The 15,887-nt window shown below is 38.8% G+C and overlaps 1 protein-coding gene across 1 annotated transcript in view; it reads left to right on the forward strand.

The window, feature by feature from the left end:
- The first annotated feature begins 5,629 nt into the window (after positions 1 to 5,629).
- Positions 5,630 to 15,887, forward strand: part of TRHDE (thyrotropin releasing hormone degrading enzyme) — a 583,493-nt gene continuing 573,235 nt past the window's right edge. Inside the window, exon 1 of the mRNA XM_017019244.2 lies at positions 5,630 to 5,803. The gene's annotated coding sequence lies outside the window, so the exon portion shown is untranslated. The remainder of the gene's footprint in view (positions 5,804 to 15,887) is intronic.

The raw sequence follows: 15,887 nt of genomic DNA on the forward strand, positions 1-15,887 counted from the left end.
AAAAATATTGATTTATTCACTTTACCAAGGCTTCAATATTTTAGAAGGCCTATCAGAATTTTGTACTCAGATTGACTTCAAGAAAGAAGAATTATTCTGTTTAGAATAATTTGCCTGTTATTGAAAATATCTAATACAAAATCAATCTTCTGAGGAGGTAATGCCATACCATTTTTCACATATATTTTCAGGTTAACACAGTGAAAATTTGCTATAGAGCATTTACTTTAGATCAGACTTGGCCAAAAGGCAATTTCATTTTGGACTTTGTCCAAGGGAGTTTGACTGCTTCCAAGGGATTTAAGCAACTGAAGGCTAGAGTGTTACAGAGTCTCCAGGACAGTTTCTCCTAACACATTCCCAGCCCTTGCACAACCTGCTGGTCCAGGGGGTGGTGCTCTCTCCATCACAGATGCTCCCGTCTCAAATGTGTACTTCCTTTGATTCCCTCAGATGCTCTCATCGCCTCTTTCTTTCACAAACCCTCATTTCTGTGAGTTGAAGAGCTGAATCTTATGCACATACATTTCTTGGTACTTCTCTCTCTAGTTCAATATTGTGCAGCTGCTCAGCAATGGAGTGATTGTCTTATTACTGCCACTTTTTACTGGCTTTTTCAGCCTCCTTTCTCTTCTTTTTAGTAATTGGTCAAGCAGAGCAAACTCTTGCCAAACTCCTATTTTTCATTATATTCCCTTGATTTATTTGTTAGTTTATTTTTTCAGTTTTATTTTCTCCTTTGGTTCCTATAAGGTGTTTATTTCACAAGCATAGGTAATTTTTAAAGCTCCTTATAATAAAATATTCTACTGTAAATCTGTTTATTTTGTACTATTTTGGACTTCAATGTACACCTTTTTATATCATCTTTGTGAATAGTTGAACTTCATTTGCAGTAGAAAGAAAATAATGAGAAGAGTCTAATGCAGTACCTTTATAGACAAAAGTTCACGTAGGAAGAGATTCTCTCTGATGCAGGTTCTGAAATATCACTGAGGAAAAGGTTATACTAAGGGTGAGGCAAGGTAAAGAATTCAATTCAAATTCTTTCCCAATTGTTAGCTAGTATTTTTAGTGTACATTGAAAATAAAGTAGTCTACCAGTTACTAAGTAGGCTTGAATACGTTATTTTAGGAAAAAAATTATATGGGATTTAAGTGCAAGCTCAGGAAGAGAGAGGCCTAGGCTAGCTTTCTCATCTTCTCTGGTCCCCATTTAGTTGCAGTTGCTTCTGAAAGAAGCAATCAGCAGTGGTTTATGATGCTCAGACATTTCTATGACGTGCACTCACTGAAAATCATTGATATTTCTGCTTTAACTAGATTTAGCTACTTTGGGTTGAAAGCTCTATGCTGCCTGAAATCCCATTTTACGAAACCTGCCAGTGAGTAAAACCACTGAGTCCTTCAGGAAAATTCCATTGCAGTTAGAGGAAGCTGTTAATTACAGCTACAATCAGTGCAAAAACTCTACCTTAAAGGTGCAGGAATTCTGCCTGCTCCAGCTGGTCTTTGTATCCAGCCCATGTGGCTCCATTCAAGTGGCATCATGTGGCTTAGACTCTTTTGATGTATTTCCTGGGAACCCATGATTATTGTGTCCCTGCAAAATGCTTTGAGAGCAAGGCCACGGATCTTTCAGGCATCTCTTCTCTTTTCCATTTCTGAGATTCCAGACCTCCCCATTCTGCATCCATCCTCCCTACCCCTAGCTTTAGCAAACAGCTAATTCTTAAAAAATAAGTCTAAACGAGCCCCACACTTGATTATTTGTGGAACTGGCCCCTTTGCACAGAAAATGTTACCTTGGGAACTGGGGTAAATTGTAGGCTTATGGATTATAAATATTTTTTTTTTGCCTTAATGAGAATTTAATTTGTTATGAATGGTTCATCGTAACATATGCCAAGAAGAGCATGCCAGAAATGACAATCTGAAGGAACACACGGGATCTAAGGCTTCCATACTTTTCCAAGAGTAAAAGAGATCATTGAAACAACACATGTCAGATGCTATTACTGTCATATTGTTGAGGCCATCTGTTAAAAACCAAGATCAGGACCTGCTGCATTCATTGAATTTGGAGTTCTAGAAAGGACAATGTCACATAAAATTAAGTTGATTCTGTTAAGAGGAGTATATCTGAGGGATTTATTTTTTTCCTGAATGATTTGCCCATGTTGTTTGTGTAGATGTCCATATAAACACAGCAGCTTTTAAAAAAGAGCACTCAAATTTGCATCACTATGCTAATTATTCAGTTTTTGAAACACTAAATAGCAATAATAGTTTGTATATTTAGGTAGATATTTGGATGTATGCATGTAAAGATGCAGAATGTGGATATATACCTGACAAAGTTGGCACTTAGAATGCTTAAGGGCTTTCAGAACAAACCAAGAATGACTGTAAAAGAATATCTGATAGTTTATAGAAAAAAATGTGTTATTTCCTTTGATATTCTGATGAAGCCAGAAAGGAGAATTTAAGAGTGGTTTTTAATGAGAGGTTTGCTCACTTTTCAGCCATTCTTGCTTTTATATTGAAATATCAAGCTGCTTTTATTAAACAATAATTACATGGGCTTCCCAGTCTCCTAGAATGTTTCTTTGGGCAGTATTTCAAGTGTCCCTGCTAACATCCCATTTGTCTGTGTTCTGTGCTTTTTTACATTCTCTCCCAATACACTGTCTCCTCACACAAATAACAAAAGAGTATAGCTTCTTTTTCTAATTCTGTTTCTTAACTCTGATCAGTCTCTGTGGCTGGCATTCTTTAGTAAAAGCTTATTTACTGGATGCATTGGTTCTTAACCAGCGGCTGAATGCATTAGGCAAGTCATGGACAATCTTTCGATTTTAGTTTCCTCATCTATAAAACATTTGGAGTAAATGTAATGGTCACTAATATTATTTCCACCTCTATAAGTCTAGGATTCTAGGAAAAGCAAAGTCTTGCCTATGTCTATAAAGCAATATGAGATGCTATATTCATTTATCCCACCAGATAATATAAAGTTAATTATATATATAGCAAAATTGGCAAGAAAATCTAAGACTTAGAATAATCATGCTTGATACAAATCTTAACCATTGAAGATAAAGACATACTTTCTGAATATTTCTCTAATTTTTCAATAGATGTCTATATTTCCACTGAGAGTTTCTTCATCTTATTCCTTGTTTCACCACAAATTCATCTCTATCCTTCCTTCCTACCTTCCTTCCTTCCTTCCTTCCTTCCTTTCTTCCTTCCTTCCTTCCTTCTTTCCTTCCATCCATCCATGCTTGCATTTATGAAGTTTCTTTCTAAGGTCATTAATGACTTTGATGGATGCAGCTGGTTTTTCACTTATTTTCTGTGTGTAAATGTCAAGGCTGTTCCCATGTTATCATAAGCCTAGGGAATTGTTTACAGTTTTCTCATGCATAACAAATGGATGGGAGGGGAAAGGAGGTGGAGTGAGAACCAAATTGAAATGGATGCAGACCCAGATGGTTAGAACTATAGGGCAACACCAAAGCAGTAGGGGTGGCTATGGGTGGAGACAGGAGGCTCACTTTAAGGGTTTGGGGTGGGATTTTATAGCTGAAATCCTGTAATTTATCACTCTCTTTCCTGGAACTTCCAAAATCGGGAGAACAGACACTGAGAACTAATTTTAAGCAGAAAATAACATCTGAGTAGTTGCCTGATGGGCCTGTCTAATAAATGCTGGAGCATAAGACTTATGCCTGGAAGCCCAAGAGCCAATTCCCATTCCTTCTCACCTAATAGTTGACCTTCACGGCAGACCCAGTCTGACTCACTCAGCCATAACCTACAAATTAGGATTTCTAATTTAACTGCAGTGATCCTGTTCACTTGTGAAATGGATCCAGCATCTGCCTCGGTCTCTGACTAGTGTCCTGTAGCATACATTCCCTAGTTGAATTCTGGGGAATGTGTGTGTTTGTGTGTGTGTGTGTGTGTGTGTGTGTGTGTGTGTGTGTGTGTGGTGGGGGGAAGAATGGAAATGAGCTAGTCAGGGAGTGGACAGTGGTGGAAACATAGACAGGAGACATCCCTGTAGGAAGAGCAGAAATACAAAGAGAGGGACAGAAATGCTCCCTGACCCCAGCACTTCTTACATAAAGAGTAAACATACTAAATATGGTCAGTTGTTCACCTTCTTTGCTCTGCGTACAATTCTTGTGGAACTCTTGCTTACCATTCCAGACTGTTTTAAAAATTTAGCTTAATGAGATGGTACTTATTTACATTTGGGGATCAAAATACTTTATGCTTTGTACTTCCAATAAGGAGGGATTTGCTTATCAGGTTGATTGGAATTTCCTCTGAACTTATTTAAGTAAGCTACTGATTCATTATGACTCTTCATAGATTGAGAGAGCGTCCCTAACCCCCTGGGAAACTTTTAACTGGATTTTAATCTACATTTGATTAAATTAAACAAAAATTATTGTCTACCATATGAAAATCTCTATAGGGTAAGCAGAATTAAGTTTCTTGTTCTTGGGAATCTTACAGTTTGGTTAAAAATGTTAATACTGTACATATGGATTCTAAGAACACATGTCAACATTTCTAAAATTGGGATTCTTCTTACAACTGGTGGCATGACATAGTTTAATTGACAGCATTTAAAACTTCTTAATAGTATATAAAATTATGTGTCTTAAAACTAATGTCTTCAGATTCAAAGAGACATGGTTGCACCAGCAATTTGGGCAATTCTACCTGCTTGCCATTTTCCTTGATAAGCATATGCTGTCAGTGATTGTGGGTTAGGAAATACAGATCTGTAGTTCTATAGCTCAGTGCCAGTTTACACATGTCTCTCATTGTGTATCTCACCAGCTGAAAGTGATTTCTAGCATATAAAGATATATCATCGTCTTAGAACACGCTCTCTAAATGCAAACCAATTACCTCACTTGGCATTTAGTAAATGAAACAGAAATCTCTTCCAATACTCGAACACTGGGTATTCTAGAATTGCTAAAAGATAACATAATGGACTTCAACTTTGTACCTTTCTGAGAGATTTTGAAAAGTAAATCTGACTGTATACATTTCCCCCCCATAAATCATAACTAAAAGACAATGTAAGATATGTTTTCACTTTACAGAACTAGTCAGGATATGGCATTTTTGACATTGGTAGGAAGACTGTATGATGTCTAAGTCATTTCCATGCATTTGTACACTTGGAAAACATATCAAATGCCTATTATGTTAATGCCTACCCAGTCTGGGATAGTATAACTGGAGGGGTCAAGAGATGTCATTATGATTTTTGCCTTCAAGGACTTTGTAATATAATACAGCAAAGTATATACAAATACTTAAATGAGCAAATATTTGTAATTGTTAATGCTATTAAATGAGTTAATATTTTAAAATGCATTTAGAACAATATCTGAAACACTGTAAGTGCTACATGAAAGTGTTTGCTAACAAAAAGAAAGATACAAAGGAAGGACAAATTGTAGTATAGTACAGTATGTGGTAAGGAATGCCACATGGTGCCAAAAATGCTATGAAAATTCAAATAGAGTGACATGTTCCGGCTAAGGGAATTTTTGAGCCAAGTCTGTTAAGAACAGTAGGATTCCAGTGGAGAGACAGAAGAGAAGGCATTCCTGACCCAAAGAGCATCAGAAGAAAAGTCCATATAAACTTGCTTACCTTATCACATTAGAGCCTGTTTGTTTGCTGCAGGAGAAAGCAAAGGGCAAGATAAAACCTGAAGACACAGAAGAAAGATGGGATCAATAATAGAACATGGCTTGGTGAAGAGGTGAGAGGTGATATAATCCAGAGCATGGGCCTAGGGATTAATCTTAGACCACAGAAGTGTCATCTATTCCTCTGGGACAGAAAGAAAGGAAGGAGGAGTAAGTACAGATGCAAATGAATGAATTTTGGGGGTCAGGAATTTGGAACTAGCAGGAATTTGTGTCTGATGGCTTCTATTTTCTCTTTGAAATAAAGAGGAGATAAGGTTTTTCTGGTGACATGGCATGGGATAGCATGTGCAGTGGCGGCAGTGGGTGGGTAAGAATTGATTAGAGTGATGAAGGCTTGGAACAACTGCTCAGGGAATGGGAGAGAAAATTGAGCAAAGACAATATGAAAAAAATATTGCTCAGCAATACTGGAAGTGCATTTGATCTTAGAAACTATACCTAGTAGCAATCTGGGCCGTTGTGTGATTCCTCCAGCACCATTTACCAGCCGAGGTGTAGGAGAACAGGAGGAGTAGGACTGCAGGATCTCTACAAGGTTGAGTTGTCTTGGAAGCTGCAGCTCAATGGAGAAAAAAGTGAAGTCAAGGAGGTATCCAAAGGAAAGGAAATTGAGGGTTCAGGATTTGGAGGACTTGAAAAAGTTTATCACTAAATTTGGTGGAAATGATGGAGAAGGTTATTTGAGGGACAAGGAAATCCAAGAGGTTGTGTTTACAGAATAAAGTACTAGCATCTTGGGTGCTTAGGCTGAGTAAGTCCCAGCAGTGGAAAAGTGGCTGTTGGATAGTCATCCACATAGATATCAAATTAAATCATCTTCTAAGTCCTCAATGTTATCTTGAGAAGTGATGTGAAGATCAAAAGATGATAATAACGAGGAAGACTGGAAAGAGTTATAGGAGAATCTAATGTACCTTGAAGAACTGAGGGCACATTTTAAAAAATTGCGAGTGGAAAGGGAAAAGAAGATCTGGGAGAATGGTGAGTGATATCCAAATATTTTAGCATTAAAGTATATAGGCTGTTTGACAATGGGCATTTGAGAGGTATATTAAAAACCTAATATTTTTAGAGGAAAGATGTGACTTGAAGATTAGTTAGGTAGCAGTTTAGCATTCTAGATTAGAGTATGAACTCCAGCATTACACAAATCTAAATAAAATCCAGGCTATAGAGCTGTGTGATCCTCAGCAGCATAACTTTGCTGCGCCTCGGTTCTCTCATCTGTAAAATGGAAATGATGAAATATCTGGCTACTTATAGGGATTAAATGCTTCACAGACCTCCCATCCTGAGTTCTGTTCTTCTCACATCTCTCATTCTTTACTGGTTCTTTCTCCTCTCCGGGCTTTTATTATTGAAGCATTGTAGGGCTCAGACTTTGATCTGCTTCATTTTCTTCCCTCCCTTCTCTTCTCTTCTTCTTTTCTCTCCTCCCCTCCCTTCTTCTACCTTCTCTTATCAGTCAGCTTCTTGGTTTCAAATACTATCCATATGCTAATTCCTAAATATGTATCTCTAATATAGACCTTTCTTCCAAACTTCAGACCCATATATCCACCTGCCTATTAGACCTCTCCATTTGGATGGCTATTAGATATCTCCAAATCAATATGTGCAAAAATTGAAATCTTGATCCTCCTTTTCAAACCTCCTTTACCCATTGCCTTCCCTATCTCACCGATGGCAACTCTATCTAGTTTCCAAGGTCAAAACACTTGAAGTCATCTGTACTGTCCTCTTTCTTTCAGACACTACATCCACGTGGCTCTAGCTTGAAAGAATATCCTAAAACCAGCCACTTCTCACCACTTTTGTTGCTGCCATCCTGATCTGAGTTTGTTACCTACATTGTTTCCAGCATTGCCCTCTCCAGTTTTTTTCTTCTCAGCAAGCTTGAGCCTGCCAGAGAGATCTTTAAAGACGTAGGTCAGATTGTATCACTCTTTTAACACTATACATTGGATTCCATTTCTCTCAGAAAAGTAAAGTCCTTTACAAAGGCCTACAAGGTTGTACATAATCCATACTCTCCTTACTTCTCCGGCCTCATTACTTTTTGCTCTCTTCCTATCTCATGCTGCCACAATCTGTGCAGACTTCTTTGGGTTCCTTGAACAAATCATTTATGCTCTTGCACTAACAATTTTCTCAGTGTAAAATGCTCTTCCTTCATGTATTTTCTTATTTAGTTTCCTCATCTTCAAATATTTGTTCAAATCATACCTTCTTAATGAAGCCCATGCTGATGACCCCATTTAACAATGCACCACTTAACTGCCACTCCTCTCCACCTTCCCACCCATTGCACTCCAAATCTCTTAACTCTGCTTTACTTTTTATTATCACTTCCTTACATACTGTATAATTTACTTACTTATTCCATTTATTCTTTATTGCTCCTCTCCCATGCAATGAGAAGTCTATGTGAACTGGGATCTGCATCTGCTTTCCTTTCTGATAGACACTAAGAACCTAGTATGGTGCTTGGCAAGTGGTGAACACTCAGTAAATATTTGTTGAGTAAATAAAACAATGAATAGATGATGGATGACTAAAGATAATTTTTATATGCTGGATATTATGCTAAGTACTCCATTAGTGCTACCTGCCATTATTGGTGTTGCTTTTTATTTGGCAGAGAGAAATGAATACATCTTAGGAGGATTTGGGAAAAAGGAAGAATAGGAAGGAAAACATTTTAGGTTGACATAGACTGTGGCAAGTGGATTGTGACCCAAAAATAAACCCTAGTATGCTATTGTTTTCTCTGTAAAAGCCCTCTGGAAGAAGGTGTCTTAGGGAGAGCATAGTTAGGTAATAATTTACCCAGAGATAATTACTACTAACAAAGATGAGTCTTTTCCCACCGTGACTCACTCAATGGAGACTACTTTTAAGTAATTATGTTGATTAAGTTTTATTAATCTTTTGGCACTGAACAAAATGATGCACTTTATTGGAGGACACTATTCACCACTGAGGTTTTAAAGCTCTTGGGGGAGCATTTGAATGAGTATAGAATTTGATGGCAGGGTTGATTTAGGAGTGGTTGTTCACGTTTTACTTACTTTTTCTCCTTTTATATCTTGAATGTTTGGGCAATTAGTGTGTTTAAGAGAGAACTGCAAAATTTTCTGATTACTTGGAGCATGTTTTTATGCCTTTTGAATTTTGATGCTTCATGTTCTTGTACTGCCCATTGCCTTAAATATGGCTTGAAATGGCTTAATTGCTATGTTAGGACTGGGAGTTTTATGGTAGACCCAGGGATATAGGTAGATATTTTTAAGTTAAATTAACCTTTTATATTACTGACATAATTCATACTTATTATAGACAATGATAAAATGCAGAAAAGATACAAAGAAAAATTAACTGTTATCTCTAGAGATAACCACTTGGCCTATTGGTGTGTTGTGCATGTTTTATTTTTAGTTATTTCAAAGATTGGATTTATTTCCCTTGGATTTTTTTTTTTTTAAGGGACAGTCTTACTCTGTCCCCAGGCTGAATCTGTCCCTAGGCTGGAGTACAGTGGCACAATCATAGCTCACTGCAACCTCTAACTTCTGGGCTGCAGCAATTCTCCTGTCCAGCCTCCTGAGTAGCTGGAACTAGAGGCGTGCACCACCATGCCTGGTTAATTTTTATTTTATTTTTTTGCAGAGACAGGGTCTTACTATGTTGCACAGGCTGGTGTCAAACTCCTGGGCTCAAGTGATCCTCCCTCTTCAGCCTCCCAAAGAGCTGAGATTACAGATGAAAGCCACTGTGCCAGGCCGAATTTATTAGTCATCAAACCACCTCCGAGTCTAGGCAGTGATTCCCAACCCTTTCTTGCATTATGGACCCCTCTGAGAGTGTAATAAAAGCTGTAGATTCACTTCCTTCAAATCCCTATATGGTTATGCACATAAATTTTGCATTTATTATCAGGGGTTTTATGGACAACCTGCATCCTGTAATAGCCTATGGGTTCTAGTTAAAATCCTTCATGTAAGGTACAAGCCTCTTTTTAAAAATTTTAAAATCTGATAAATTCTGAAAAATCAAAATGCTTTTCTATATTCCAATGTTTACACTTGTTCAAAGGTAACTATAGTGGATATCTGCTGCTTTTATCTGCCTAGTACCCATTTTATCCTTTTCTTCTGGTAACAGTGCCCAAGCACCCTTTTACAAGGGTGTGCACGTGACCCAGGTTGCATCAAGAAGAATATTGTTGGAGGCCGAAAGACTGAGGGTTGTGATCAACTCAGTATACCACTGGGGGCTATATAAGTAAACAGCAAACTGTTCTCGTAAACGCAGAATGTTGGCAAACTGACAAACTGGGTATGCCACCCAGAAGGAATGCTGAGGGCAGTCACGACCCAGGCACAAGTGTTTCTTGTGACTAGGCACATATGAAGCCTATTAGTAATCATATGAACCTATGATCAATTAAGCAGCTGACCAATAGTTACCTCCTCCTCCTTGATCTTGCTACCCAATAAATACAAAGGGCTGTAGAAGCTCAGGGGCTGCCTTTGCTCACTAGAAGCAGAGAGCTCTCTTCTTCTTCCCCTGGACCCTTTCCTTAAAACAGTTTCTTTTGTCTTTTGTTATCATTTCTGTGTTCATCCCTTCATTCAGTCTTGCAAATGACAGTCTCAGGCAGTAACAGTAGTAACTGCTGTAATGATGGTCTCAACTAGCAGCAGTGGCGGTTGGCCACAGAATATCTGATCTTAGAATAGCTAAAGCATGAGTTAAAATAAAAAAGACTAACATACTACCAAATATGTAAGAATCTATGCATCTGAATGAGTAATTTCTTTTCCACTGTAATCACTTTGGGAAATTTCATTTTAATTATGGCTATGTCATGGTTCAAAATGTTTTTGAATTTCTCTTCTGGAATTGCCTTTAAAGGAAATTTGTAGCTATAAAAGAAAGTCACATTATCAAAACCTTTGGTTGAAAGACTTCAGCAAAAAAGAAATTTATTGGCCCATGTAACTGGAAAGCATAGTTAGGAGCTCTGTTTTCAAACACAAGTGGATGGAGAAACTCAAACAGTACAATCAGGATCTAGCTTCTCTCTTCTTGTCTCTGGGACCTGCTTCCTATCTGTTGTCTCCATACGCAGACAGGTCTTCCTGTGTGGAAGCAAAAGCGACTATAGCATCCTTTCAGGCTGAAATCCCTTAGAAGCAGAGAGCATCATTTCTTTAGCTCCCAGAAAAGTCCCAAGACTTAGACTGCATGCAAACAGTTCTCTGAGGCTAACGGAGTGCAATGTGATGTTTGGTGTAGTCTAGGGGCATGTGCTTTCCCACGGAGTCTTGGTTCCATCCAAAATGCATGTACTAAGAATGGGAGAGGAGCTTAAGAGTCAAAACAGGTGACTATTGCTGGAAGAAAGGTACTAAAAATACTCTACAGTTAATGATTCTTTTAAAGTCACAACTTACATGTATTATCAGTTTCCAAACCTCAGAACTTCTTTAGCACACTCCTCTCCTCTACCATGGAAACTCACCATCTTAGCCTCCCCAAGGCTTCCTTGAAGTTTATGTGTATGTATGGCTTTGAGATTTATTAACCTCTCCATTTCCCCTGTGAGAAGGAGATTAAGTTTTGATAGTAGGAGCCCTCAGCATGCACTTGGAGTAATTTCTTATTCTGAGGTGCTTGATACTTTATTGAAAATTAGAAATTATTTTAAATTGTGAATGGGTTGGCAAGCTTTTTCTTACAGCACTTTGATTATCCCACTTCCTCCTGGTCTGGAAGGTTTCTGCTGAGAAGTCTGCTGATAGCCTATGGTTTCTTTATTTGTGATGAATCTCTTTCTTCTTGCTGCATTCAAAATTTCCTTTTTGTCCTTGACTTCTGACAATTTGACTGTAATTTGTCTTGCAGTGTTCTTCTTTGCATTAATACTGCTTTGAGTCCTTTGAGTGTCACAAAATCTGGATGTTTAGATTCCTCCCAAGAGTTGTGAAGTTTTCAGTCATTATTTATTTAAATAAGCTTTCTGTGTTTTTCTTCCTTTTCCTGCTGGAACTCCCAAAATTCATATATTTGTATGCTTGATGATGTTCCATAGGTCCCTAAACTTTTTTACTCCTTTTCATTCTTTTTTCTTTTTGTTCCTCTAATTGGCTAATTCCAAATTACCTGTTTTTGAGTTCTTAATTCTTTCTTCTTCAGATCAATTCTGCTATTCAAGCTCTTTATTAAATTTTTCACTTCTGTCGTTGTGTTCTTCAGCTCTAGAATTTCTGTTTGGTTTGTTTTTATGGTTTCTAGTTCTTTGTTAAACTTTTCATTTTGTTCATTCATTGTTTGCCTAATTTTGTTTAGTTGTCTATCTGTCTTCTCTTGCGTCTTGTTGAGCTTCTTTAAGATGCTTATTTAAATTATTTTTCAGCTCATTTGTAGATCTCCTTTTCTTTGGGGTCAGTTACTAAAGCTTTATTAGTTTCCTTTTGTGGTGTCATGTTTGACTGGTTCTTTATGATCTGTATGGCCTTGCATTGGTATCTGTATTTGAAGGAGCAAATGTCTTTTCCAGTTTTACAGACTGTTTTGGCAGGTAAAGACCTTCTGTCAGGTCCCTGGGATGATGAGATTGCCTCTGGGATTGTGGTTGAATCGGATTGGAGCTGGGTCATGTGGCCGCTGTTGGGTTTGCAGTGGAGTCTGTGGTTGGTGAGCCTCTTATCAGGACTGAATTTGGCATAATTCCTGTCTGGTCCTTGGGTGAACCAGACTGCCTCTGGGGCCTTGGCCAGTAGGACTGGTGCTAGAATGAAAGTCCACAGATGACACCAGGTGCACTGACAATGTAGCTTTCTTGGTTCCTGCAAGGGGTGTCACTGGGTCACTAGGTGAGTCCCTGGCCAAGCAGGACTGGCCCTGGACTATGGCTGAGAGGGGCTGGGGACTGAGTTACAGGGCTGAGTAAGGGGCCATAGCCAAGGCTGGGGTCTGCAGGCCTGCCTCTGGGGTTACTGATGAGCATATCTATTGGTGGTTCCCTAGGTGGGCAGGACTACTCCCAAATGGTAGCTGAGAGGGCTTAAGCTGAATTACAGGCTCTTTTGGATCTGCTATGGGACTGCAGTCAGCAGGCCTGCCTGCAGGGACACAGATGGGTGCATATCTCTTCCAGTCCCTGTATAGGCAGGATTGGTCTCAGACTGTAGCTGAGAGGGGCTGGAGCTTAAGGACAGGACCACTTCAGGGTCCTAGCTGGGACTGAGGTCGGCAGGTCTGTCATGCAAAACATTAGTAGGCATGACTGCATCTGGGTTCCTGGCAGATGGTTCTGGTGGCCAGATCAAGGCCAAATAAGGTTGCAGCTGAGTACACAAGAGAATGAGGCTTTTTCTAGGTCTGGAGCCAGGAACTCACACAGTTGGTGAGTCTGCCACCTGGGCATGGGTCTGCCCTTTCAAAGTGGTCCTCCTCAGTCATAGGTTCCGCCAGACTTTCACAACTTCCTACATGAATCCCAACACGAAGGTACTTTTGTTCATGGATGGCTGTGAAACTGTTATTGCTGTGGGGGAATAAAGGGGGATACCTCCTATTCCACCATCTTGTTGACATTATTGCTCTAAATTCTTTCTTGATTATCTTTAAATATCTTTTCTCAGCAGAAATTTCTCAAGAACATACCAGCTCTGAAGGACAGACTAGGAGATGTTTTTGTCACCAGTTCTGTCTTTTAGATATAAATTATTTTCCATTGGAAAAGCAAAATGTTCACCTGCTATAGCTGAGAAAATCCTTTAGTGTGGGCTGTCTCTAGCAGTGCAGTGTCACCTTGGCTAGGCTGCTGCCAACACCCACGGACCCCTGTTATTGCCATTCTCAGCAGCACATGTCCTACTTTTATTTAAATAGCATAAAGGTTGGAGCTGGAAAAGAGAACAATATCCAATTTGGCATTTGAAGCAAGTGTTATAAATATAGACTGTAGAGATCCTAGGAAGGAGTGAGGTTTGGTGGTCCTAGATGAGAAAGGAGATTAAAAACCACCTCATAATTGAGTGTTTGAGTTAGAAGGTACCATAGAGGTCACTAGTGCTACCCTCCCCCTCCTCACCTTAGAGATGAGGAAGCTGAAATCCAGCTTGATGACATGACTTGGTTAAGTTAGCACCAAATCTGCAACTAGAACTCAGGTCCCCTCACTTTTGGGACAATGCTATTTCTATTATATTCAACTCTGCTTTCTGTTTCTTTCAGACTTGGAAGTCAGTGATAGCACGCTGGTAGGATATTTTCCTGTAGATCTGGATTTTGTAAGACAGAAAAAATTCAGTTGCTGACATGAAGAAATTTGCTAAGACTTGTTGTTCCTATACTCAGTGTGATGGTTAATTTTATATGTCAACTTGGCTGGACTGCAGGTCCGAGATATGTGGTCAAACATTATTCTGGATGTTTCTGTGAGGGTGTTTTTGTATGAGATTAACATTTAAATCAGTGGAATTTGAGTAAAGCAGATTGCCCTCTATAATGTGGTTGGGCCTCCTCCAATCAGTTGAAGGGCTGAATAGAACAAAAGATTGACTTCCCCTGAGCAAGAAGGCATTCTGCCAGCAGATGGCTTTTGGACTTGAACTGCTGCTTTGGCATCTCACTGAGTCTCCAGTGTGATGGCTCACACTGCAGATTTTGGACTTGTCAGCCTCCATAATCATGTGAGCTGATTCCTTAAGATAAATCTTTTCTTATGTGTATACACACACACACACACACACACACACACACACATATCCTATTGGTTGTATTTCTCTGGAGCACTCTGACTAATATACTTAGTGGAATATTTGTTTCTCTAATCCAGCATTTGGACCTTAAATATTTGTGCCCAGAACATCTTGTCTGATATTTTGGGTAATCATGTGCTATTATTTATTTCCTTTGTCCGCTGCAAACACAAAGAGGCTTCTCTTTTATTTTGGTATTAATAAAAGAAAATCTTTAACAATTATGTCAAGTTTGGGCAATTAGATTGTTTCTTCCTCAGTTATGGAGATTATTTCATAATAGAATCCTGAGTATCTTTATCAAATTCTGAGACCAGTGCTACTGCCTCTACCTATTGAAGGCTAAGATCACTTTTTAGCTCAGATGCCAAAGATGGCAAAAAAGTAAGCAAACAACAACTCAGTTTTCATTCCTTTTCTAAAAAATTGGTTGTTTTTGTTCTGTCCAGTCCTCCATCTTGCTTCCCCAAGGTACTCCCAGGTCCTTTGCATCCTCCTTTTTTGTACTAGTTAGAGCACTTTCACTCATGAATAAAGAATAGCCCAGCTCAACCTAGCTTAAGCCAAAATAGCATTTTATTTGCTTATGTAACAAAAAAGCCTGAGGAAAGATCTGGGATATAGGCGACTACAGAATCTCAAGCATTGTCACAAAGACCTAGTCTTCCTCACCTCCCTGCTTGATTTTCCTTTGTTGCTTTCAGGCTAGGTTGCCATTAGCATTGGCAAAATACAGTCAATAACTTCTAGCTCACATCTTCTCCACTTAAGAGCATGGCAGAAAAGAGTGCTAACAAAACTCCTGGGCCTAACCCTTATTGGCCAATTCGATTATCTGTCTGTCTATTACCAAATATACTGATTAGCTTACTACTGGATCATATGCCCACCTTCATACCTGAGTTTGGATTGTTCTCTATCAACCCACATGTACAAAGAGTAAGGAAGAGGTGGTTTTCTCAAAAGAAAAGATAAATGGATGCCAGGTAAATACAATTAATAGTGTATACTACATCATCCTTGTCCAATTTGAACAAATTGTGTCTGGCAGGTGGGTAAGAGGCAGTGGAAAGGAAAACTAAGAAGCTCAGTCTTCAACAGTTCCACCTATGCTTCTGATAATAGGAGTCAGGAGATAGAGAAAGAGCACTGGTCTAGAGGGTCACCTCATAATTTTAGAAACAGATGATGTTTCCTGGAAGGCTTTAAAGTTCTAGAATGGAGGTTATAGATATGTTTAGTCCCTCCTTACCTTGCAGTAGCATTTTCTCACTGAATTTTTTTTTTTTTTTTTTTTTTTTTTTAGACAGAGTTTTGCTCTGTTTTCCAGGCTTGGAGTTCTGTGCTTTGAGCTTGGCTC

This window comes from Homo sapiens, chromosome 12 (assembly GCF_000001405.40).
Source record: "Homo sapiens chromosome 12, GRCh38.p14 Primary Assembly".
NCBI lineage: Eukaryota > Metazoa > Chordata > Mammalia > Primates > Hominidae > Homo > Homo sapiens.